This window comes from Homo sapiens, chromosome 5, assembly GCF_000001405.40.
Source record: "Homo sapiens chromosome 5, GRCh38.p14 Primary Assembly".
Lineage (NCBI taxonomy): Eukaryota > Metazoa > Chordata > Mammalia > Primates > Hominidae > Homo > Homo sapiens.
The window spans coordinates 62,157,815-62,181,746 of NC_000005.10; the positions used below are offsets into that span (position 1 = coordinate 62,157,815).

At 41.6% G+C, this 23,932-nt stretch overlaps 3 annotated features.

The window, feature by feature from the left end:
• Nucleotides 3,585–4,085: an enhancer, noted in NCBI's record as "H3K4me1 hESC enhancer chr5:61457226-61457726 (GRCh37/hg19 assembly coordinates)". NCBI's record gives its function as "activates a minimal SCP1, AML or CMV promoter by ChIP-STARR-seq in naive and primed H9 embryonic stem cells {active_cell/tissue: H9 hESC(naive and primed)}" and the evidence as "EXISTENCE:reporter gene assay evidence [ECO:0000049][PMID:30033119]".
• Nucleotides 4,086–4,586: an enhancer, noted in NCBI's record as "H3K4me1 hESC enhancer chr5:61457727-61458227 (GRCh37/hg19 assembly coordinates)". NCBI's record gives its function as "activates a minimal SCP1, AML or CMV promoter by ChIP-STARR-seq in naive and primed H9 embryonic stem cells {active_cell/tissue: H9 hESC(naive and primed)}" and the evidence as "EXISTENCE:reporter gene assay evidence [ECO:0000049][PMID:30033119]".
• Nucleotides 4,637–5,137: an enhancer, noted in NCBI's record as "H3K4me1 hESC enhancer chr5:61458278-61458778 (GRCh37/hg19 assembly coordinates)". NCBI's record gives its function as "activates a minimal SCP1, AML or CMV promoter by ChIP-STARR-seq in naive H9 embryonic stem cells {active_cell/tissue: H9 hESC(naive)}" and the evidence as "EXISTENCE:reporter gene assay evidence [ECO:0000049][PMID:30033119]".

Sequence of the window (23,932 nt, forward strand, 5' to 3'; positions counted from 1 at the left end):
GCCACATGGAACTGTGAGTCCATTAAACCTTTTACTCTTGTAAATTGCCCAATCTTGGGTATGTCTTTATCAGCAATGTGAAAACAGACTATTACAGTAAATGAGTACCAGTAGAGTGGGGCACTGCTGAAAAGATACCCGAAAATGTGGAAGCGACTTTGGAACTGGGTAAAAGGCAGAGATTGAAACAGTTTGGAGGGCTCAGAAGGAGACAGGAAAATGTGGGAAAGTTTGGAATTCCCTAGAGACTGTTGAATGGCTTTGACCAAAATGCTCATAATGATATAAACAATGAAATCCAGGCTGAGGTTGTCTCAGATGGAGATGAGAAACCTGTTAAGAACTGGAGCAAAGGTGACTCTTGTTATGTTTTAGCAAAGAACTGGCGGCATTTTGCCCCCACCCTAAAGATTTGTGGAACTTTGAACTTGAGAGACATGATTTAGGGGATCTGGTGGGAGAAATTTCTAAGCAGCAAAGTATTCAAGAGGTGACTTGGGTGCTGTTAAAGGCATTCCATTTTAAAAGGGAAACAGAGCATAAAAGTTCAGAAAATTTGCAGCCTGACAATGCTATAGAAAAGAAAATCCCATTTTCTGAGGAGAAATTAAAGCCAGCTGCAGAAAATTTGCTTAAGTAATGTGGAGCCAAATGTTAATCATCAAGACAATAGGGAAAATGTCTCCAGGGCATGACAGAGACCTTTGTGGCAGCCCCTCCCATCACAGGCCCAGAAGCCTAGGAGGAAAAAATGGTTTCGTGGGCCAGGTCCAGGGTCCCCCTGCTGTGTGCAGCCTAGGGACTTGGTGCCCTGCATCCCAGCCACTCTTGCCATGGCTAAAAGGGGCCAAGGTACAGCTCAGGCCATTGCTTCAGAAGGTGCAAGTCCCAAGCCTTGGCAGCTTCCATCTGGTGTTGAGCCTGTGGGTACACAGAAGTCAAGAATTGAAGTTTGGGAACCTCTGCCTAGATTTCAGAGGATGTATGGAAACACCTGGATGCCCAGGCAGAAGTTTGCTGTAGGAGCAGGGCCCTCATAGAGAACCTCTGCTAGAGCAATGCAGAAGGGAAATGTGGGGTTGGGAGCATCCAGACAGAGTTCCTGCTGGGGCACCATCTAGTGGAGCTGTGAGAAGAGGGCCACCATCCTCCAGACCCTAGAATGGTAGATGCACCAACAGCTTTCACCAGACGCCTGGAAAAGCTGCAGACACTCAATGCCAGCCTGTGAAAGCAGCCGGGAGGGAGGCTGTACCCTGCAAAGCCACAGGGGCAGAGCTGCCCAAGACCATGGAAACCCATCTCTTGCATCAGCGTGACCTGGATGTGAGACCTGGAGTCAAAGGAGATCATTTTGGAGCTTTAAGATTTGACTGCCCCACTGGATTTTGGACTTGCATGGGGCCTTTAGCCCCTTTGTTTTGGCCAGTTTCTCCCATTTGGAATGGGTGTATTCATCCAATGCCAGTATCCTCATTTTATCTAGGAAGTAGCTAACTTGTTTTTTATTTTACTGGCTCATAGGTGGAAGGGACGTGCCTTGTCTCAAATAAGACTTTGGACTGTGGACTTTTGAGTTAATGCTGAAATGAGTTAAGACTTTGGAGGACTGTTGGGAAGTCATGATTTGTTTTGAAATGTGAGGACATGGGATGTGGGAAGGGCCAGGGGTGGAATGATATGGTTTGGCTGTGTCCCCACCCAAATCTCATCTTGAGTTGTAGCTCCCACAATTTCCAAGTGTTGTGGGAGCGAACCGGTGGGAGGTAATTGAATCATGGGGGTGGGTCTTTCCCATGCTAATCTCATGATAGTAAGTCTCACAGGATCTGATGGTTTTATAAAGGGGAGCTTCCCCACACAAGTTCTCTTCTCTTGTCTGCTGCCATGTGAGATGTGCCTTTCACCTTCCACCATGATTTTGAGGCCTCCCCAGCCACGTGGAACTGTGAGTCCATTAAAACTCTTCCTTTTGTAAATTGCCTAGTCTTGGGTATGTCTTTATCAGCAACATGAAAATGGACTAATCCAGTGGCTCAGCTAGGACTCAAATCGATTCACCTATTCAATCTTTGAGGCCACAGAAAAAAACACTGACATTTTTTATTTTATTTTATTTTATTTTGGAGATGGAGTCTCGCTCTGTCGCCCAGGGTGGAGTGCAGTGGCACGATCTCAGCTCACTGCAACCTCTGCCTCCCGGGTTCAAGCAACTTTCCTGCCTCAGCCTCCCAAGTAGCTGGGACTACAGGCACACACCACCATGCCCAGCTAAGTTTTTTGTATTTTAGTAGAGACAGGGTTTCGCCATGTTGCCCAGGCTATTCTCGGATTCCTGAACTCAGGCAATCCACCCGCCTCAGCCTCTCGAAGTGCTGGGATTACAGGCATGAGCCACCGCACCCAGCAACATTGATAATTTTTTATGAGGGGAGAAAGTGACACGAAGTGGAACTTTTGGAAGATTACTCTGGGCATAGTATTTAGACAGAATTGAATAAACAGTCTGGGAAAAGGCAGATAAGGCAGTTTACAGTATGTAAGAGAGATGAAAACTATAATAGAATCATGATATAAGACAGGAAGGGAAAGAATGGGTGGGGGGGCTGCTCAGTGATTCTCAGCTCTAGCTGTATAACAGCATCACCTGGAGATATTTGAAAAACCACTAATGCTTAAGCTCATTGACTATTGTATATACCAGAGGTGGGAGGTAAAGTACGATTTAAAACTTAACTAAAAAAAAAAAAACTAAATAGAAAAAGTCAAATGAAAACCAGGGGACTTTCTACACATGTATACCAGAACTTAAAGTATAATAATAAAAAAGGGGGGACTAACAACAGTTTTTTTTAGAAACTAGGTCTCACTCTGTTGCTCAGGCTGGAGTGCAATGAGACAATCATAGTTCACTGCAGCCTTGATCTTCTGGACTCAAGTGATCCTCTCACTTCAGCCACTGAAGTGGCTGGGATTACAGGGATGCATCACCAAGCCTGGTAAACTTTTTATTTTTTGTAGAGATGGGATCTTACTATGTTGCCCAGACTGGTCTCAAAGCCTTTGGGATCAAGTGGTCCTCCCACCTTAGCATCCCAAAGTGTTGGGATTACAGGTGTGAGCCATTGTGCCCAACCCATTTTACTTTTTATATCTATGAATTTGACTACTTTAGATACCTCATATAAGTGGAATTATACAGTATTTGTCTATTTATAGCTGGTTTATTTCACTTCACATAGTGTCCTCAAAGTTCATCATGTTGTAGCTTTTTTTAAGGCTGCAGAGAATTCCATTGTATATATATATATATATATACACCACATTTTGTTTATTGATTCATACACTGATGGATATTTGGGTTGTTTCCACCTCTTGGCTATTTTCAAAAGTGCTTCTATGAACATGAATGTACAAATATGTCTTTAAGACCCTGCTTTCAATCCTTCTGGGTATACACCCAGAGTTAGGATTGCTAGTAGTTCTATTTTCAATTTTTTGAGTAACTACCATACTGTTTTCCATAGCAGTTGCATCATTTTACAATCTGATCAACAGTGCACAAGGGTTGCAACTTCTCCATATTCTCACCACTTGTTATTTTTTGTTTTATGTAGCCACTCTAATGAGTGTGACTAAGGACATTTTTTAAAGATGTAAGTACAAAGATAATCTCTAAAACAAAAATATACATCATACTGAATATTAAAGTAATTTAAAAATCTAAAATGAATGAAAACAAATTGTGTAGGTAAACACAGCTAATGTAACATAACAAACATAAGAATAATGTCACAAGCTCTTTAGGGTATCACTTTGCCAGCCAGAAACCTCTGTGGCTGGTGGTGCCTCTACTTGGGTTTTGCTTGTGCCCACTGGGCTCATTCCCCCAACTCAACCTGGCAGGCTGTGCTTGGTTCCTACTACCAACCCAGATGCCACATCTGCCAAGGGTGAGCCAGTTGAGAAGCAGCAAAGGGTGTGGGAGCGAGTGAGCAAGCACGGGATCTGACCACTGCGCACAGCCAGGCATGCTGGTTGCTGTGATGGGGTGGACAGCTTCAGGCACCAGCACAGGTGCTGGCTCTGTGCGAGGCTGCAGCTGGACCAGATGTACCACACATGGCTTCTGCTGTGTGCACCCACGCCTGGAAAAGGGGAACTCAGTGGCACCTGGAAGCCTGGAGATGCCAGGAACCACAGAGCCCCAAAGAGGGTGTCACAGCTCTGGCTCAGGGATGCCCTAGGTCCGGGCTTCCCAAAGGGCCATAGCTCTTCTCTTCTTGTCATCCACAACATGGTGAGCAGGGGGCATGTTTCAGCCCTGTTTCCGTTACAGCTTTCAGTCCCACCATTCGGCAGGTCACAAGTTCTTATCCCACATCCAGGAAGAATGAGGTACAATTGGAGGGTGAGCAAAGCAGAGAGAAGCTTCACTGAGTGACAGAACAGCTCTCAGGAGACCCAAAGAGGGTAGCTCCTTTCCACAGGCAGATCACCCTGACAAGTGTCCAGCTCTCAGCAGAGAGGAGACCCACAGTGGATAGCTACTTTCTGCAGGCAGATCATCCTGAAGAGTCAAGGAGATGAGAAGTGGGTACCTCCTTGCCACAGCTGGTAGTCCAATGTTTGTGTGAGTCTGGCTGAGTCTGGGGTTTTTATGGGCTCAGAAGGGAGAAAGTGCATGCTTATTCGTCCATCAGTGGCCATATGCGGGCCCAGAAAAAGCACCATAAGTTCTCATTCCAGGTGCAGACTCTACCAGGAACTGGCAGCCCAGCCCCGAGGCTTCAGGTCAGCCCTGGCTTGAAGGTGGGGTTTCACTGGGTACCCACCCCTTTCCACCCAGGAACCTGTCTGCACCCACCATCAACATGCCATCCACAGCACCAAGGCTATTTGCACCAAGGGGTGCCTGCAGGCCCACACTGAGCTGCCTTCAGCACCCCTGACCCCATGCTTGTTGGTGTCCAAAGTCTGGAGGGGGCCAAGGCGGTGGCAGCTGGATTGTGTGTCAGTGCTGCCCTGAGCATGTGCACACCTGGCCAGGTTGTGACAGCACCCAGGCTCAGCCACAGCTTTGCTCCAAAATTAGAGTTGGCACTGGGAGTGGGGAGAGGCCAGGGAGCAGGAGCATGCACTTCTGAGCTTGCAGGGGCAGAGGGTGCTTCCCAGACCCCTGAAAGCACAGGGATGCCCGAGTTCAGAGCCACAGCTGGGCAGCTCTGCTGCACCCAGGAGCACAGGGTTTCCGCCCTGCCAACTTGGTAGGGGGCAGGGATCCCACCTGTTCCTAGCCCCTGCTGGCTCCATAGAGCACACAGTCCTGGCCATGCCTCCCCTGCTGCAGCTGGCGTCTTCGCAGCAGCCATTCCAGATGGGCCGCCACTGCCATCAATAATAACATAAAATAATGTGACAGAGTTAAAACTGACACATCATCTTTGTCAATAAATATGCATAGACTTAACTCACTTGCTAAAAGATTTTCTATTTGGCTCACAAACAAGACTCAACTATATGCTTTAAACCAGAAACACAATTAATACAAAGTAATTTAGAAAGACTAAAAGCAAAGGAATAGGCAAAGATTTTTCCAGACAAATGGAAGCAATAAAAAAGCATGGATTGCAATCCTGATACCATCCCATATATCCCTGGTGGGAAAGCAAACTGTATTGTATCTATGTTAAATTCCTGATTTTTGCCATGGTATTGTAGTTATGAAAGAGGATGTTCTTATTCTCAGGAAGTACAAACTGAAGAATATTTAGTAGTGATAGATTCTCAAGGGGTTTAGAAAAAATTGAGAGTTATTGAGAATGATACAGTAAATGGTGCAAAATGTAAACAATTGGTGAATCAAGTGTCTGTGTGAGTTATTTGTACCTTTCTTGCAACTTTTCAGTAAGTTTGAATTTTTATCAAAACAAAAAGTTTTTTTTTTAAAAAAAAAAAAAAAGCCCAGATCTAACTTCCCGGAAATTCTAACTCTCAGCCTCAAAATGGAGCCAAGATCTATGGTATTTTTTAAAGCTCTACAGGTGATTGTAATATGCAACAAGTTGAGAGCCACTGGACTAGTCAGTCGATGGGACTTAGTTACTGATTGAATGTGTGTGGCCCAGAAAGGAAGACACCAAGGAAGACTGTGGAAGGCTAGAAAATGGCCCTCAAAGATATCCAGGTCCTTCTCCCTGGAGCCTGTGAATGCTACTCCATGACAAAAAGGACTTCGCAGCTGCGATAGTTAAGGATCCTTGAGATGGGGAGATTATCCCTGATTATCCAGGTAGTGTCCTTATAAAAGGAAGGCAGAGGGAAATTCTGACCACAGAAGAGGAAGTAGGAGATGTGACAATGGAGGCAAGAGGCTGGAATGATGCAACCATGAGCCAAAGAATACTGGCACCTGCCAGAAACTGGAAGAAGCCAGACACAGATTCTCTCTTGGAGGCTTTAGAAGAAACTAGCCCTTGACTTTACACCTTAATTGTAGTCCTGTAAAACTCATTTCTGACTTTTGGCCTCTAGAGCAGAAAATAAATTTGTGTTGTTTAAAGTCACTAAGTGTACAGTAATTTGTTACCACAGCAATAGAAAACTAATACAGACTTAAATGTTTTAGAGATAAAGAGGAAAAAGTGGGGTTCAAAACTGAAGAGAAGTGTGACTTTTCTTATTCATGAGGGTAAGTTTTGTTCCATTCATTTTCCAAACCCTGGAAAAGAACAGGAAAGTGGGTAATTGTCTTAGTCACTTAAGGATGCTACAACAAAGTGCCATAGACTGAGTGACTTATAAATAACACAAATTTATTTTCTGTTCTGGAGAATGTCACAGCTCTGGAGGATGGAAGTCCGAGATCAGAGTACCATCATGACTGGGTTCTGATAAAGGCTCTCTTCTGGGTTGCAGATCACCTGTTTCTCATTGTATCCTTACATGGCAGAAAGAGAAGAAGAAAGCTCTCTGAAGTCTCTTTTATAAGAGCACCAATCCCATAGATGAGGGCTCCACCCTCATGGCCTATGTCACTCCCAAAGGCTTCATTTTCTAATACTATCACTTTGAGGGTTAGGATTTCAACATATGAAATTTGGAGGGGGACACAATCATTCAATCTATTGCATTGACAGATGAGAGATTTCAACAAATTTCTGGAAAATAGAAAGTATGGAAGCCTGCTGATAGATGAAACAGAAACATGAAACCAACAGCCCAAAACATCTGATTGAGGGGGTTGCAGAGAAGGTGGAACCTGATCTGCTCAAGTAGCCTTTGTAGGGCTCCAAGCTTAGAGCAGTCACGTAAGACAGGGGGAATATTGGAAGTCAGAGGCTATCAGAAGGCTTCTTAGAATGTCTATACACAAAACATTTGTATTAGGGAATGCCATATCCCTTTCCTTTCCCATCTTGCTACAGGCAGCCCAGCTTTTATCTCCAAAAAAATTCAGGAAAGCTCCTATTTAAGGAAATTGAACAAACTATTGACTGGAAGAAGCAATGGTTCTGTGTTGGATGTTTTGCTCAGAAGCGTCTCTCTCACTGTGACCTGAGGAGGGGCTCCCAGCCTGTTCATCCCAGAGCTAAGCCTGACAGTGATATACCCCAGTATATTTATGCATGGCCATCAGGCGCAAGATCTTTCTCCAGAGGACAGAGGAAATCCATATTAGCTTCTTAATCTTTTACTTTTAAATATAAATGAGCAATATAAGTCCATTAAAACCGAGGGAGGAAGGCAACAGAAACAATAATCAAAAGATGTTTGAGAAATGTGCGGTTCAGTCGTGAAACATTCTATGACTTTAAGCAATTGTTGCAAAGTAAGGCAAGAGAAACCTTTTGACCTTGATGCTACAACAATTCTATCTTGAGTAACCCAGAGGACATTTCATTAGGCTATTACAGAAGAAAACACAATCCTAACATACAACTTGGCTCTGCAGTGAACAATATTCACGTAGGTATGATAATGTAAATGCTGATTTTTGGTTTTCAATCCATAGCAAAAACTCATGAGAGTTAATTATGGTTTCAGAACAAATGTAAATGTTAACCATCTTGACAATGTAAAAGTTAGACAAGGCTGAGATGAGGTGGGAATTTGCAGGGGAGGCGTGGCATAGAGATATTCAGTAAAGAGGAAAAAATAGAGATATAAATATGGTGCCTAATATTGCAATGTTATCCAATAAAATCACTCAAAAATAACAATGTAAAGGTCAAATACTGCAAAGATGGAAAGGTGGGGTGTAATATAAATGAGTTAAGTCCTCATCTTTCATGACCGAGAGTCAACATATATTGTCAAAATTTTTTTAAAAATCAAGAAATGGAAGTCATTATTTAGAAGTTTGGACGTAATCATTAGAAGGCTTGAACATAAAAGAGGTTGCTTCTGGAGAATGGGACTGCAATGGAGAAAGAAGGATTGAAAGATTGTTTCTTTTCATTATAAATTCTTCTGTTCTCTGTGATTTTCTTTTTTACCAAATGCATATATTTCTCTAATAAACATAAGTTTTCAAAATGATAAAGTATTAAGCACATAGATCTTTGATTATTGGCAGTCTAGAGTTATACTCCAGATGATTCTGTGTCTTACATAACTTTAGGATCATTATTTAAGGACTGATCATAGTAATAGACTATTATATGCATAGAAGGACTGATCATAGTAATAGACTATTATATGCATAGACTCTGTAGTTAATCACGGTTAATAAAGAAGGCATAGGAAAGAAAGAGGAGGTGGACGGGAAAAAATAACAGGGGAGTCAAGATAGAAAAGGTATTGAGAGAATCAAGTTGCTGAGGTCAGAGTTAGAGTGGAGCTGGTGAGTCGTCTAGGTGGAGATTCCAACAGGTGGTAGAGATTTGGGCAGTCAAAGCCCAGAGGTAATGGTTTGGGGCCTCATTCACATAGACAGGAAACTCTTAAAGTGATGGCAGCCACAGGCTCTGCTCTAGTCCCCTTTGACTTTTTCCCCAAAGACACTTCCTCCTGGTGCTCTGTAGCACTGCCCACCCACCTCCACACACACAGATATCACCTGTCTCTAAAAGCCCTACCAAAGTGCAAGGCCTTCCCAAGTCCCAGCTGCTTGAAGCCTTTTTAGCAATCCCAGTCCTTACCCATCACCCCTTTGCTGTACTTCATCGGGCTCAACATTTCCACACTTGACCCCAGTTGGTACCATGTGCTTTACTAGATGTCTGAGGGTCCTAATCCCTTCTCCCCAACTAGATCATGAACTTTTTTTACAGGAAGATGCTCTGACATCTGACTTTTGTCTCTCCTAGAGAACTGAGCATGGTGTTGGACTTCAAATAAGCAATTACACTTCCAGTTGTAGCACAAAGTAAGGCATGAAGTTCTCATTTTAGCTGAAACAAGCTTCCCTACCTTGGAGCAAACTGTGATGCGAGGAACTTAGCACACTTCATTTGTCTGGTTTGTAACCCAGTAGTGACTGACAGAACCCCACACAATGCCAGTCACCCTTTATTCTCAGAGGCAGGCAGTCTGGAGTGACAAGGGTTGGAGGTCTGAGGGAGAAAAAGCAAAGTGTCCTGGCTGCCTCTTGTTCCAGCAGATACTACCCCTCCTGAAGAGCAGATGCATCCAGATGGCAGGCGCAAGTTCATAATGCACAGGTCAGAGGCGGGCAGTCTACCCAACATAGCCTCTGTCACTAAAAGAACAGGGATCCTGTGGGAAGTACACATACAGGACTTGACTGAACATTCCCTAGAGAGAGGAAGACAGTTTGCCATCCCCCACTGTCCATGCTTCGACCATTCTTCCCCCATACTCTCTAGATAGATGCTGCTGCCTGAAATATGAGTTCTTCCAATTATTTTAGTATCTATGCCAAGGTCACTTTCTATTACTCATTTTAGCAAACTTCTTTAAAGCTTAGGTCAAGATCTCTGCTCTCAAAGGAAGCATGTCAACATTTCTTCCCCTTGTTACCCTTCACATCGTGGCAACCACTCACAACATGCGTTTATCTGAAAAGCCCAGGCAACCAACATGTTCAGACAAGCTGAACAGAACACTCTACTGTGTTCAGGAGAATGGAGTTTGGGGCATGCCCTGTGGCCCTGAAAATAACAATGGTCCTGCTATGAAGATATATTTACCTTGAAAGCTTTGTCCCTCAAGTGTATAGAAATACAGATTTGCTCACACTCCTGACTTAACTGCCTTTTCTCCCTTGTTCATGACAGAATTCTCAAAGGACGGGACACTCCTAGTGCGCCCGAATGAGAACAAATCTATCACTCACTCTTCCCCGACTTCTTTCAATTTGACAGTGAAGTCTGAATCAAAGGGAACACTTCCATGGCAATAAAGAAAAAACCAAGAGTCAAGTAGCAGTGAATGATTAAATCACACGTTTTAACCATTCCTTCTGTGCCACAACACTTTTCCCTAGAGCACCCTTATAATTGTGCTACAGCACCATTTATTATTTACAATTGCCTTATTTTCTTCTGAGGTCAGGCTTTGTTTAAAAGTCCATTCAAGGCTGGTTGTACTGCAAGTAAGGTTCAGTTGAAGCTTCCATGTAATCTGCTATATGTCAAATGTCATTATGTTAGAAGCCCCCAAGCCAGCACATCAGAAAATATATTCACCTAAATTCAAAGAAGCTGCAATATCTCTTAATAGAACTTTAGTATCCACAAGGACATGTCAAAGAGAAAGAAAAGAGGGTCCCACAGTTTACTCTGCTGTCTGGTGTCTGTGGCACTTGTCTCTGGCACGAGAATATTTATGTATACTTTGTGGGAGTCTTGCTAATTGTAATTATGATTGCTTACTACAGTTTCCAAGGTAACAGTTGTCACTGCAATGCTTCACTGCCAACTCAATTTCCATTCTCCTGCTGATATAACAAATATTATGTGACATTTTAACTGAAAATATCTGTAAATGGGTGTCTGAGTGTGGTGTGTTTCTTAAAAAGGGAAGGAAAACAATTATTAGCTTTTCATTATTCATCTCAGTGGCACGTTTGATCAGTAATTACTTCAATTTTATATTTAGAAAGGAATGGACCAGGGTCCCATGAGGTCTTGGATTTGGAGGCTCTGGGTTCCTATCCTGCCTGTCCCTGTTGTTGCCTGGTGATCTGAATTCTGTAGCCAGGAGCTTGACCAGAAACTGAGGCTCAGTAAAGAAGCCCCTCAGCGGTGTCCCTGCCCCGCCCCTTCCTTTCCCAGGGTGCACTTCTCCCATATAAGGGGTGGGGACTGAAGGAGGAAAGACGAAGCAGGTGCTCTCCACTGTGGCTGCCTTCTGTGCCCCCCACTCCCACAAACAGCAGAATCATCCAGATAGCAGGTCAGAAGTGCCTCGTGAGCAGGAGGTGTTCCTGCAAGCTGTTCTGATCATGACTAGATGAAGGAACTTTTCCTCAGCCCCACAGTGCCACCTCCGGTCAGAGACCCTGCAGGGATCCCACCTCTGGCCACTCTGAGATCACTTCCTGCCATGGCAGGATTTGTACATCTGGTATAGGTAATGCATACATATACTATACCTGCATTTAGTATGAATGTCCACACAATGCCAAGAGCTCAGACCGCCTTTGGTAGGGCATCACACCAGAGCCACAGCTCTGAGCCAGCCTCTGCGGGTTTCTAGTTTCTCCATAGGAATTTCACAACCCTGCTTCCTTACAGGCTGAATTCCTCACCTACCACCTGGCCTTGACCTGGCTTCCAGATCCTACTAGCAGAACTTACCTACGTAGGATGCAGAGCGGCTGCCCACCTCTGGCAGTTATGTATGTTCTGACTCCTGACCCCCACCCCAGGAACTCTCATAGTCACCTGCCCATCTTAAACTGTGCCTTCTAATTCCTCAAAGACATAGAACCAGAAATACCATTTGACCCAGCAATCCCATTGCTGGGTATATACCCAAAGGAATATAAATCATTCTATTATAAAGATACATACATGCGTATGTTCACTGCAGCACTATTCACAATAGCAAAGACATGAAATCAACTGAAATACCCATTAATGATAAACTGGATAAAGAAGATGTGGTATATATGCACCATGGAATACTAGGAAGCCATAAAAAGGAATGAGATCATCTTTTTTGCAGGGACGTGGATGGAGCTTGAAGCCATTATCCTCAACAAACTAACATAGGAACAGAAAAACCAAACACTGCATGTTCTCACTTATAAGTAGGAGCTGAACAATAAGAACACATGGATACAGGGAGGGGAACAACACACACTGGGGCCTGGCGGGGTCATAGGGGCAGCAAGTGAGAGCATCAGGATAAATAGGTAATGCTTGCGGGCTTAATACCTAGGTGATTTAATACATAGGTGATTGGTCAATAGGTGCAGCAAACTACCATGGCACATGTTTACCTATGTAACAAACCTGCACGTCCTGCACATGTATCCCAGAACTTAGAATAAAATTGAATTTAATTTTTTAAAAAACTGTGCCCTCTTTCTATCTAATTCTCTTTGCTTTATTTCACCTCTCCTGGAGGTTCAATTCTCTTTGCTTTGTTTCACCTCTCCTGCAGGTCAGAAACCATACCTTTCACCTTTTTTCTAACCTCTCATAAGACATAGTAAGAATTAAATAAGTAATTGATCCATTAAATGTTAATAAACATTCAATATGCATATATGAAACCGTTCAGTGGAAAAGCTGAGTTTGAGCATCTTCAAGCCTTCATGTACTTCTCTTGTTCCTCTATAATATCATATTATAAAATGGTTCTTAATGTAGTGATTCACAACCATGGGAGAGCAGAAAATCTCTGTGGAGTTTATTAAAAATAGAAATGATACAAAATCTGAACTGGTTAACTAGTTCTGTGAACATATTAAAAATTATTGTTAGTTTTATTAGGTGTGATGCTATCAGCATACTTATGTTTTTTAAAAGACTCCTTTATCATTTCGCAATGGAGGTTGAAACATTTCTTTTAAAAACTATATCTGCAGTTTGCTTTTAAATAATCCCTCGGGGTGAATAGAGTGAGAGACAGTACTGGTGAAACAAGCTTAGATGAGTTGGTGATTTTTAAAACTGGGCGATGAAACATAGTGGTTCATTGTACTATATTCTTTAGTTAGGTTTGAAATTTTTCATGGTAAAAAGTATTTATAATACATGAAGTAAATATAGCAAAGTATTAATAATTATTAAATCTAGGTGAGATTTTGTAATCTCCCAAAGTTAAGAAACTATTCCATACTTTAATGTATGTTTGAAAATTATAGAAAATTTTTTTTTGCTTTTTTAAAAATTTTACTTTAAGTTCTGGTATACATGTGAAGAATGTGTAGGTTTGTTAAATAGACATACTTGTGCCATGGTGGCTTGCTGCACCTATTGACCCATCATCTAGGTTTTAAGCCCCACATGCATTAGTTGTTTGTCCCTCCCCTTGCCCCCCACCCCCCGACAGGACCCCGTATGTGATGTTCCCCTCCCTGTGTCTATGTGTTCTCATTGTTCAACTCCCACTTATGAGTGAGAACATGTGGTATTTGGTTTTCTGCTCCTGTGTTAGTTTGCTGAGAATGATGGTTTCCGGCTTCATCCATGTCCCTGCAAAGGACACGAACTCATTCTTTTTTATGGCTGCATAGTATTCCATGGTGTATATGTGCCACATTTTCTTTATCCAGTCTATCACTGATGGACATTTGGGTTGGTTCCAAGTCTTTGCTATTGTAAATAGTGCTGCAATAAACATACATGTGCATGTGTGTTTATAGTAGAATGATTTATATTCCTTTGGGTATATACCCAGCAATGGGATTGCTGAGTCAAATGGTATTTCTGGTTCTAGATCCCTGAGGAATCACCACACTGTCTTCCACAATGGTTGAACTAATTTTCATTCCCACCAACAGTGTAAAAGCATTCCTATTTCTCCACATCCTCGCCAGCATCTGTTGTTTCCTGACTTTATGACTGCCATTCTAACTGGTATGAAATGATATCTCATTGTGGTTTTGATTTGCATTTCTCTAATGTTTTAAAAATAAAGAAGATACAAATTCCCCAACCCTTAACCCTTCTTGCCCTTTCTAGACCCAAATCTCTACAGGTATAGGCAGGTATATTTTTAAAGCATCAAGAGCTAGGCACCTCTACTAGATCTTTGTTAGTGTAATTTTAGTTACTGATACTACTTAAATGCAATACATCTATGTTTCTTGTAAAAAGATTTTATAATTTTAATATTTAATTAACTTGGACAAGTTTTACCCCACTTTCATTCATACCCTGTTGATACTAATTTAAAAGGATTTATTGTGTATTACATGTTTATTCTTCCTTGGGATGATATTTCACAGTCTACTTAAAAAATAATGCCTTGTTGATTTTTCTATCATATTGAATGAAAAGTTAATAGAAATACACAGAGATGATTGACTTCAGGAAAGGATACTTTCTGGATACATTAGTAGGATGACTTCATAATATATTGCTCTAAATATATTTTCCTGGAGCAGGGAGATAAATGATAATTATCCACTTAATCTTAATATACTTGTATTAGTTTCCTGTTGCTGCTATGACAACTTAGTGGTTTAAAACAATAGAAACTTCTTGTCTTACGCTTCTAGTAGTCAGAACTCTGAAATGGATTTTACAAGGCTAAAACCAAGGTGTCCGTGATGCTGCTTTCCTTACAGAAGCTCTCTTTCCACAGCATCTAGACACTGTCCATATACCTTGGCTCACGGCAACATCACTCTGATCTCTGCTTCCATTGTCACCTCTCCTATTACTCTGGTCTCCTACATCCCTCAGATAAGGACCTTTGTGATTAACCAGGGTCCCTATCTTAAGATCCTTAGCTTAATCACCTCTGCAAAGTTCCTTTTGCCATGTAAGATAATATATTCACAGAAATTAATATATTAACATCTTTGGGAAGGCCACTGTTTTGTCTACCACAATACTCTTATTTTTCCCTTCTGAATTCAGTGCATTAGATAGCTATTGCTGCAATAATGTCGTGTAACAAACTACTCCAAAACTCAGTGGCTTATGGCAGCAAGCATATATTTTTCTCACTTGTGGGTCACAGGTTAGCTGGGATGGCTCTGCTTCAGGCTGAGAGTGGGGTGGCTTGGCTGTAGGGTTAAGATTGGATTTATGTATGTTCCACATATTTCAACTGGGGGTCCAGAATGAGGCAGCAGAGAATATCAGGGGCATGATTTTTTCTGCACAATGTTAAGCATGCAAGAGGACAAGCCAAGTCTCGTGTGCACATTTAAAGCCTCTGCTTGCATTCCATTTACTCAAATTCCACTGGTCAAATCACATGGCCAAACCAAAAGTCAGTGAAGTAGGGAAGTAGACTTCACCCCAAGGGAGAGAGGTAAGAGGGTGAATATTTGCTGAAGAGGAATTCAATTTCCTATTCCTTAGGTGTAATAGTAGCCAGCTTGGAGCTTCTCACTGATTATATACCTTCCAAATGTTTCGCCCTTTGACAGGTCACTGAAATAAGTGCAAAACCTCTCATTGTGACTTTTTAAAGGCAACATACATTGGAATGTCTCCAGAATTCTCACTTATCTAGGACATAGATAAAAACCAGGAAGTAGTCAAGAAAGGTTACTGAGCATCACCTAAGTAGCTAAACTAAGGTATGTAGATAACTCATAAAAGAACTCTTTAGAGCTGACCTACATCTATAAACTATTTACTCTTATTTTACACGCAATTCCAACAATGTTGATTGCTTCATCTCTAAGTTCACAATAAAATCACACATACACACACATACAAACACATATACACACAAACACACACACACACCCCTAACAGATACCAACAAGGAAAACATACATTATAGAGACTTAATCTTTGCTTAAAACACACACACAAGAGAATGCAATTATTATTTGCTATAGGGATAAATAATCAGTTCCACATAGCTCAATAAATCTTAAGGTTCTCACGAATTACATCACAATCTAAGAATAATTGAGCTAAAGAGTGGAATGCATGGGGTCAGGGAATCTTGCCCACCTTGTTCGCCACTGTTTTCCCATTGTCTGGGACAGTGCTTTGCACAGAGTATGCATTTACTAGATATATGTAGAATTAACATTTATAAAGTTGAAATTTTTATTGTTTATTAAATTCTATTTCAGATGGCAGAAAAGGACTCTGTGTGTATGTGAATCAACATGAGCTAAGCTGAGAATGAGGAAGTCAGGGAAGTATTTATTGTTTGATTTTTGTTTTTTGTTTTTTTGAGACAGAGTCTCACTCTGTTGCCCAGGTTGGAGTGCAGTGGCACAATCTCCGCCCACTGCAGCCTCCGCCTCCCAGGTTCAAGAGATCCTCCTGCCTCAGCCTCCAGAGCAGCTGGGACGACAGGCACATGCCACCACGCCCGGCTAATTTTTGTATTTTTAGTAGAGACGGAGTTTCACATGTTGGTCAGGCTGGTCTCGAACTCCTGACCTCAAGTGATCCACCCACCTTGGCCTCCCAAAGTGTTGGGATTACAGGCATGAGCCACCGCGCCCAGCTGGGAGTATTTATAGAAAGGCTACAGAGATGTTTTCTGAAACCCAAAGGCAGAAGAGCGGGTGGGGAGCCAGAGGATGCTCTGCCCATGTCGTGCCTCTGCCTCACTATTCACATCTACCTGATTCTTAGCCCAGGCAACAGGGAGGGTGCAAGACATAAACCTCACATCTTCAGTAATTTTATATTTTGGGACATGACATATGCAGAGACTAGCTAACTCTCTCCAGGTTTCCCTCCAATTCCCAGCAGAGAGAATTTTCTCCACCCCTGTTCCAATAAATGAACCAACAGGCAAGCAAAAAAACATAGCTACCAAGAGCCTGTGGTAGACAGACTCTAAGATGGCTCCTGCCTCCTGGTTTTCACACCCTTTTGTGACAACCCCCACCATGAGTGTGGGCTGGACTTACTGACTCCCTTGTAATTAATAAAATAGAGAGAAATGATAACATGTTACTTCTAAGATTAGATTATTAAAAGCCTATGGCTTTCCTCTGAGGCACATGCACTCTGTTGAATCACTTGCTCTGGGGGCACTCCGCACCTTATCATGACACAGCCCTGTGCAAAGGCCCATGTGACAAGGGATCAAGGGCTGCCAACAACCACGTGAGCAAGCTTGGCAGTGGCTCTTCACTCCACCTTACCCCAGTTGAACCTTTAGACGAGACCACAGCCCCAGCCAAAAACTTGACTGCAACTTTATGAGAGTCCTTGAGCCAGAGACAAAAAGCTAAGCCATCCCTAGATCCTGATTCACAAAAACTAAGAGATAATAAATGTTTGTTATTTTAAGCTTTGAAGATTTAAAATAATTTGTTATGCAAAGTAAGTTTCTCCAAAGAAAGGTGAGTTATTAGTGAGCTAGGTGGACACTGTAAAGTATGTCTACTAAAAGTCTGTAACACATTTTCAAATATCTCTACCCCAAATCACTAAAAAAAAAGTTTTATACTTTAAAAGCAAATCCCCTGGCCATATAGAAAGCTTAGCTGTCCAGAATAAAGAATTTCTTAAAGTTCTACACAACCACAGTTTTACCATACAAATTCTGAAATGCTCATAGGCACACCAGTCTTGTCATTTGGCAGCTTCCTCCTGGGTGAATTATCCAGGCCTCTAATGTTTCCTCCTTTACCTCCATGCTACTTTTCTTTTCACTCTTTCAATATTCATTATCATTCCACTCAGACTGCTGGCAAAGGAGGATACTGTGATACACAAACAGGTTGAGTTTGCTGCATAGCCAAAGCTCTGATGGAAGGCTTCAAAGGGTTGCAAAGTGAAAATAATTGCCCAAAAGATTTTTAGTGTTACATGTTGGTTTTGTTTTCCAAAATGTATTACATTTGCAATTATTATGGGTAATTAGAAATTCTATATTCAGGTTTTTAATTCCAGCACTGGTCAAACCTGGAGCTTAAAGCTTTAGTGAGCACTTTATATTTGCAAGACACATTGGAGATGTAACTGTGAAGATATACAGTCCTTGCTCTCAGAAAACTGAAAATATGTGAAAGGAAAAGATTTAAATACATAAAACAAATTTAGAACAATAAATACAAGGTAAAAATCAAAGTGTAATTGATGTTCAGAGAAGTAAGAAGTCTACATGGAACTAGAGTAATCAGAGGAAGATTTAGGAGGTGGTAATACCTGAGTTGAGTATGAAGGGTAGGGAGAATTTAGAAGAAAATAAAGGGATAGAGTACTACGTACAAGATAAAGAACACAGAGAAAGAAAACATTTCTCAAATCTCACGTAGATTTCTACTTGCATGAATCTATTATTTTAAGCCTAAATAGTGTCCAATATAAAAAAATGTAATTGTGTCCAGTAGCCATGATCCTTTAGGCCTGGGGTTAGTTAAGAGGACAGACATGAACAACACAGGGAACGAGGAATGGATGTCTCCTTTCAGGCTCCAAAACTGGCATGCCAAACAAGTGTTATAGGAGGAAGAAAAAAACCTTTGCCTACTGTCATGGTTCACAACACTCTGCCAATTTCAACCTCCTCCCACCTGTCAACACTCAGTAGTATTACTAGGAGGAGTGAGCCATTACTCTCTTCTCCCCTCGTTTTGCACCTATCTGGCTTCTGGCCTCCAATCCGTTTGTGGTATCTTGGGATTCTTGCAACACTCTTGCCAGGAGCATTGACAGGGCCTCCATGAAGGGTGCATTAGAACACTATTCAAAGATACCTGGTGGAAGGAATTTGAGGGGGCTAAAATCCAACCCAGCCCCTGGGAGGGGCTGCAATCATGAAGAAGGGGTGTCTATTGTAATTCATCTGCCAAGAGAAGTCATTTCTTTTGCAGTTTGCATAAAGGCACCTATATACCAGCAGTAGCCTTGAGCACTGCCAAATCTAAGCTAGACATTTTTAGGCCAGTGCTTTCCACCGGGTCCTCCCCTCTTGTCCACCATCAACTGATCTGACAAATAATGGAATAACAGGAATCCTATATACCAACTAGGGTGTATCTGACCAGTTTTCCCTAAGACGATGAGGAAATGAAAGTTATTTTCAGGCAGCTCTGTTTGCTGAAGGAAATGCAGGATGTCAGAAGACTGCAATAGGAGGCTGAAAAAGATTTGTTTCCAGACCCTAAGCCCAGAATGGCATCCTCCATTCTGACTGATACCATCAACAAACAGTACTTACTGTACCAGTTGAATCAAATCACTTGGTCTACGAACTAAAGGTTTAGTTATCCTTGAGTGTAAGTGCTCCATTCAAGCTCCCCAGGTACAGGCTGATCTCACACAAAGCTCTCTTGTTACAACTCATTGACTAAGACCTAGTCAGCCACAAAAGAAAAATGACTAAAAGATTTTAAAGAAGGATTATTTCAAAGTTTGTAAAGGGAGAAATCATTTAATATCTCAATGGGCTTCAATGGTCAGGTCTTTTTGAAATCAACATCTAACATCATGATAATGATAAATCTTTTTTTCAAAAAATGCCTTTTCGGCACAAACTGAGCGACCACTTCATGAACAATTGGGCACCCAAATAATTGGAAATATTTCAGAAAAGCAAATGAAGCAAAAGAGATCATGGAAAGCCGGGAATATGTGGATGCAATTTTGAGTCCAAATGAACATGCAGTGTCATATACAAAATAATCAGTGAGATGTGAAAACTGATGTGGATCCCTTTGATTTGAATCAACAGGGTGTGAAGGACTCTTATTATTAAAGAAAAACCTTGGTGCCAGCTCACCCTTGCCCAGATCCAGACATCCACCATCCTAGCTCTCGAAGTGCCAAAGCCCAGGGCTAAGCTATAACCCATCAGGAGTCTTGAAAGCAGTTTTCGGGCCAGCACTTTTTGGCTGACTAATGCTCAATAGCCTTCCTCTTGTCATTCTTCTTCTGAAAAATTTTCCTCCCCATTAGCAATGTTAAAAGTCCTTTGCAATATAGCGCATCTGATTTCAAGAAGAGAGGTGGCCTATATTTACAGACTAAATCCAGTGAAACTGGAACATTGTCATATGGAAAAGCTATACAGCCATTCTTTCCAGAAAACTACCCAAGGGCAAGAAAGAGCAGTGTTCTTCCTACCCCAAAGAAGGAACCAAAAACCATCTTTCCAGAACCCCAAGGGGCCCTAAAGATCTTCTCCAGTGGTTTCCAAACTTTGTTCAGCCAAGTGTCAAAGTACTGAGAGAGGCTACAAATGAAGAAAAGGGTGGCTTCATGGAGAGACAATGGAAAGCCTTTTTAAACAAATAATTACTTGAGGCTTTCTTCAATGACACCTTAAAATTAACAGAAGAAAATCTGAAAAACTCTGTAGTGTAGCAGGATTATATCTTGGAATCTTAATCTGTGTGTAGGTTCTGTATTCCTTTCTGCTTTCTCAACAATACTCAAGGCCACTGTTCTCTCTTCTAGCCAAAACAGTGCTAGCCTGAGAATGGTACTTTAAAAAGCCTACGCATAAACCTTTACCATGTAAAGACTGGATGGAATAAGGGGAAGGGTGGAAGGGAGAGCAGTGTGCAGTGGATACATTTAAGTTAAAAAAGAAGGAGGAGCCAGGCGCGGCATGGTGACTCATGCCTGTGATCCCAGCTCTTTGGGAGGCTGAGGCAAGCAGATCACTTGAGCCAAAGAGTTTGAGACAAGCCTGGGAAACATGGCGAAACCCCGTCTCTACTGAAAACAAAATTAGCTGGGCATGGTGGCACATGCTTGTAGTCCCAGCTACACAGGAGGCTGAGGTGGGAGGATCACCTGAGCCCAAGAAGTCACAGCTGCAGTGAGCTGTGATCATGCCACTGCACTCCAGCGTGGGAGACAAGAGTGAGACCCTGACTCAAAACCTCAAAAGAAAGAAGGAGGAGGACTCCCAGAAGTCCTCCAAGTGAGAAAGAGAAAAAAGGACTGTCTGTCTGAAGACTGAAGAGAGGAGTGGAGGCATCTCAAGGCAAGTTGCTCCAGTAATTGAGGACAATCATCTTCCAGAATTGAAGGAGGAGGGCTTGGACATCACGTGTTCTACCAAGTCTCAATCACAAAGGTGTGATTGAAAATTAGAAGGGAAAACTTGCCCCCTGACCAAGGTGGCAACAGAATAGAACAGAAGCATTTGTAAAGTCTCCTCTGAGCCAAAGTAGAGGTGTACATGTTGCCCCTCTTCCAGTTAAGCCCACCTTAGAAGAATGCATTGGAGATCCCTGTGCTACACTAAAGAAATGGCAGAATGAGCCAGAGGTAAAAACACACATTTAGATAACTGATTGAGGAATTAACCCAATTCTTTTTTACCTTACAGTTCAAAGAACACACGCAGATGAAGAAATTTTCTCTGTAATTACTGTTTATTTCCTATACTTACAATGAAATCCTATGCTGACTTTCAACATGCTTAATGATATTCATATTCTATCTGATGAATAAACTTCCAATGAAATGAGATATGTTTCTTAACAGAACCTGTTATTGACTGAAGAGCAATGCATGGGCATGTGAGAAGAGCAGCAAATCTGTGACAAACAATACTGTGGGAGCAGTAAAATGCATCAAAACCATTGCACAATCTGACTAGAATAGTAGACATTGTGTTCACCAAGAATGCCTTGACAAAGCATCTGGCTCTTGATCTTCTTGCTATGTGCAATGAGCCGGTAAAAATGAGGCAGATACTTTCAACCAACCAATATCCCAGGAGTGACTTAACCAGCTCTCACTGAGAAGATATAATTATTGATATTTCACCAAGAGTTGCATGAAAATGCCCTGAACCTCCTCTTGGGCAGCACTGACATAGCTCATACAACTGAAAAGTCTGCAGATATATATATCCAGATATTTATGAGCTTGAGTTTTTGAAATATTAAGAGAAATTGCTTGGACACCAAAACTGATATACCATGCTACGTTCCTACCACTCACCTTGATCCTCCACAGTTGAGAGACTGATTGTGAAAGACTCACTCATTAGCCGAGAATCAGGTAGAAATCATTTTTATTTTTCTCCACAGTTTATAATTTAAAATTTTTATGTTAAAACAGACAGATTTATTATAGAATTTTAAATTCACATGAATTTCTGACATAAAAATATAAGAACTGTTCCAATTTTCTCTGGGGATGAGGCTGGAATATGGCCCCATACTTCCAGAGATATCAATTCAATGTCTACACTACTAGGGACACTTAACGGGGAAAATTGAGAAGCACCTCCTTATCATAAGTGAAATAACTCAGCAACAGAAAAACAAATACTGCATGTTCTCACAAGTGGGAACTAAACAATGGGTACACGTGGACACAAAGATAGAAATAGTAGACACCTGGGACTCCAAAAGGGGGGAGGGTGAGAGGAGGGGTGAGGATTGAAAAATTACCTATTGAGCACAATGTTCACTATTTGGGTTTTGGGTTCACTAGAAGCCCAATCCTCACCATTACACAATATATCCTGTAACAAACCTGCATATGTACCCCCTGAATCTAAAATTTAAAAAAAAAAGAAGAAGAAGAAGATGCACTAGCCTGGAGTCCATATACGGAGAAGCCTAGTAGGTATAAAACACTCAGTTTTCATAACTGTTCATGGCGGGAAAAGCAATGCAACATTTAGAAGCCCTTGCAATAGACATAGTTACTGAAGCGGCATCACATAGCATTTTGGAAAAGACAGTAATGTGGACAACACACATGTCCATGCAATATATCTCAACTTTTGTCAAACAACAAATGGACCCTGTTAGAAAAAAAAAAAAAAATGTAGTCTGGAATTCATGCTATCTAAATCTGCTAAAAACAAAATAATTAGTCAAGAGGATATTTTAACTGAACATGGTTCACAGTTGTTTTTTTCTTTTTTCTTTTTTTGTTTTTTTTTTTTTTTTTTTGAGACAAGGTCTCACTCTGTCACCTGGACTGGAGTGCAGTGGCTCAATCTCGACTCACTGCAACCTCCGCCTCCCGGGTTCAAACAATTCTCCTGCCTCAGCTTCCCAAATAGTTTGGATTACAGGCACGTACCACTATCACCCAGCCAATTTTTCTATTTTTAGGAAAGATGAGGTTTTACTATGTTGGCCAGGCTAGTCTTGAACTCCTAACCTCAAATGATCCACCCACCTAGGCCTCCCAAAATGCTGGGATTACAATTGTGAGCCACCGCACCCGGCCAACTGAACATGTTTTAGAAGATGGCAATATTAGCCTCATCTCTAGATCCTTAATCACTTAGTCATTATGTTTTCCTTATCTGTGTTATTTCTCTTGATGTGGTATCTTTCCCTGCCTGAGACAACCCAGTCAAAAAGCATCATGGAAAGATTATCCATTCCTTAGCCCAGCGAGCCCTAGCCCCACCTTCTCCCTCCAGTTTCAGAATGAGTTCTGCAATCTTATCCTTTCATACGCCACCCCTATCTACCCTTCTCTAACTGGTATCTATCTCACTGCATCAGTTATGTATGTTATAATCAACCTCATATCTCAGTAGAAAATTTTTAAATAATGCAGAGAAAATTATTTTGAAATGAAATGAAAACTTTAGTAATTTGATTTGCAGGAAACGAAGAACAAAGTGTCACAACCTGAGTGCTTTTAAATAAGTCATAATTAATTACGCATGCATCTATGTTCGGATGCTCAATTTATGACTAATTATGCAGAAAATGTAATTGCATGCTGAAGTATTCAATCGTGCCTTCTCTCACTCTTATTTGCACCAGGCAAGGGTTGTGGTTTCTTGTTGTTGTTGTTGTTGTTGTTGTTGTTGTTGTTGTTGTTGTTAATGGTACGTATCACTTATTGAAATTGTTGAAATGTTGTCAAGACGGAAATAATCATGTGATCTCTCCTATAATGTAGTTGTTTCTGTT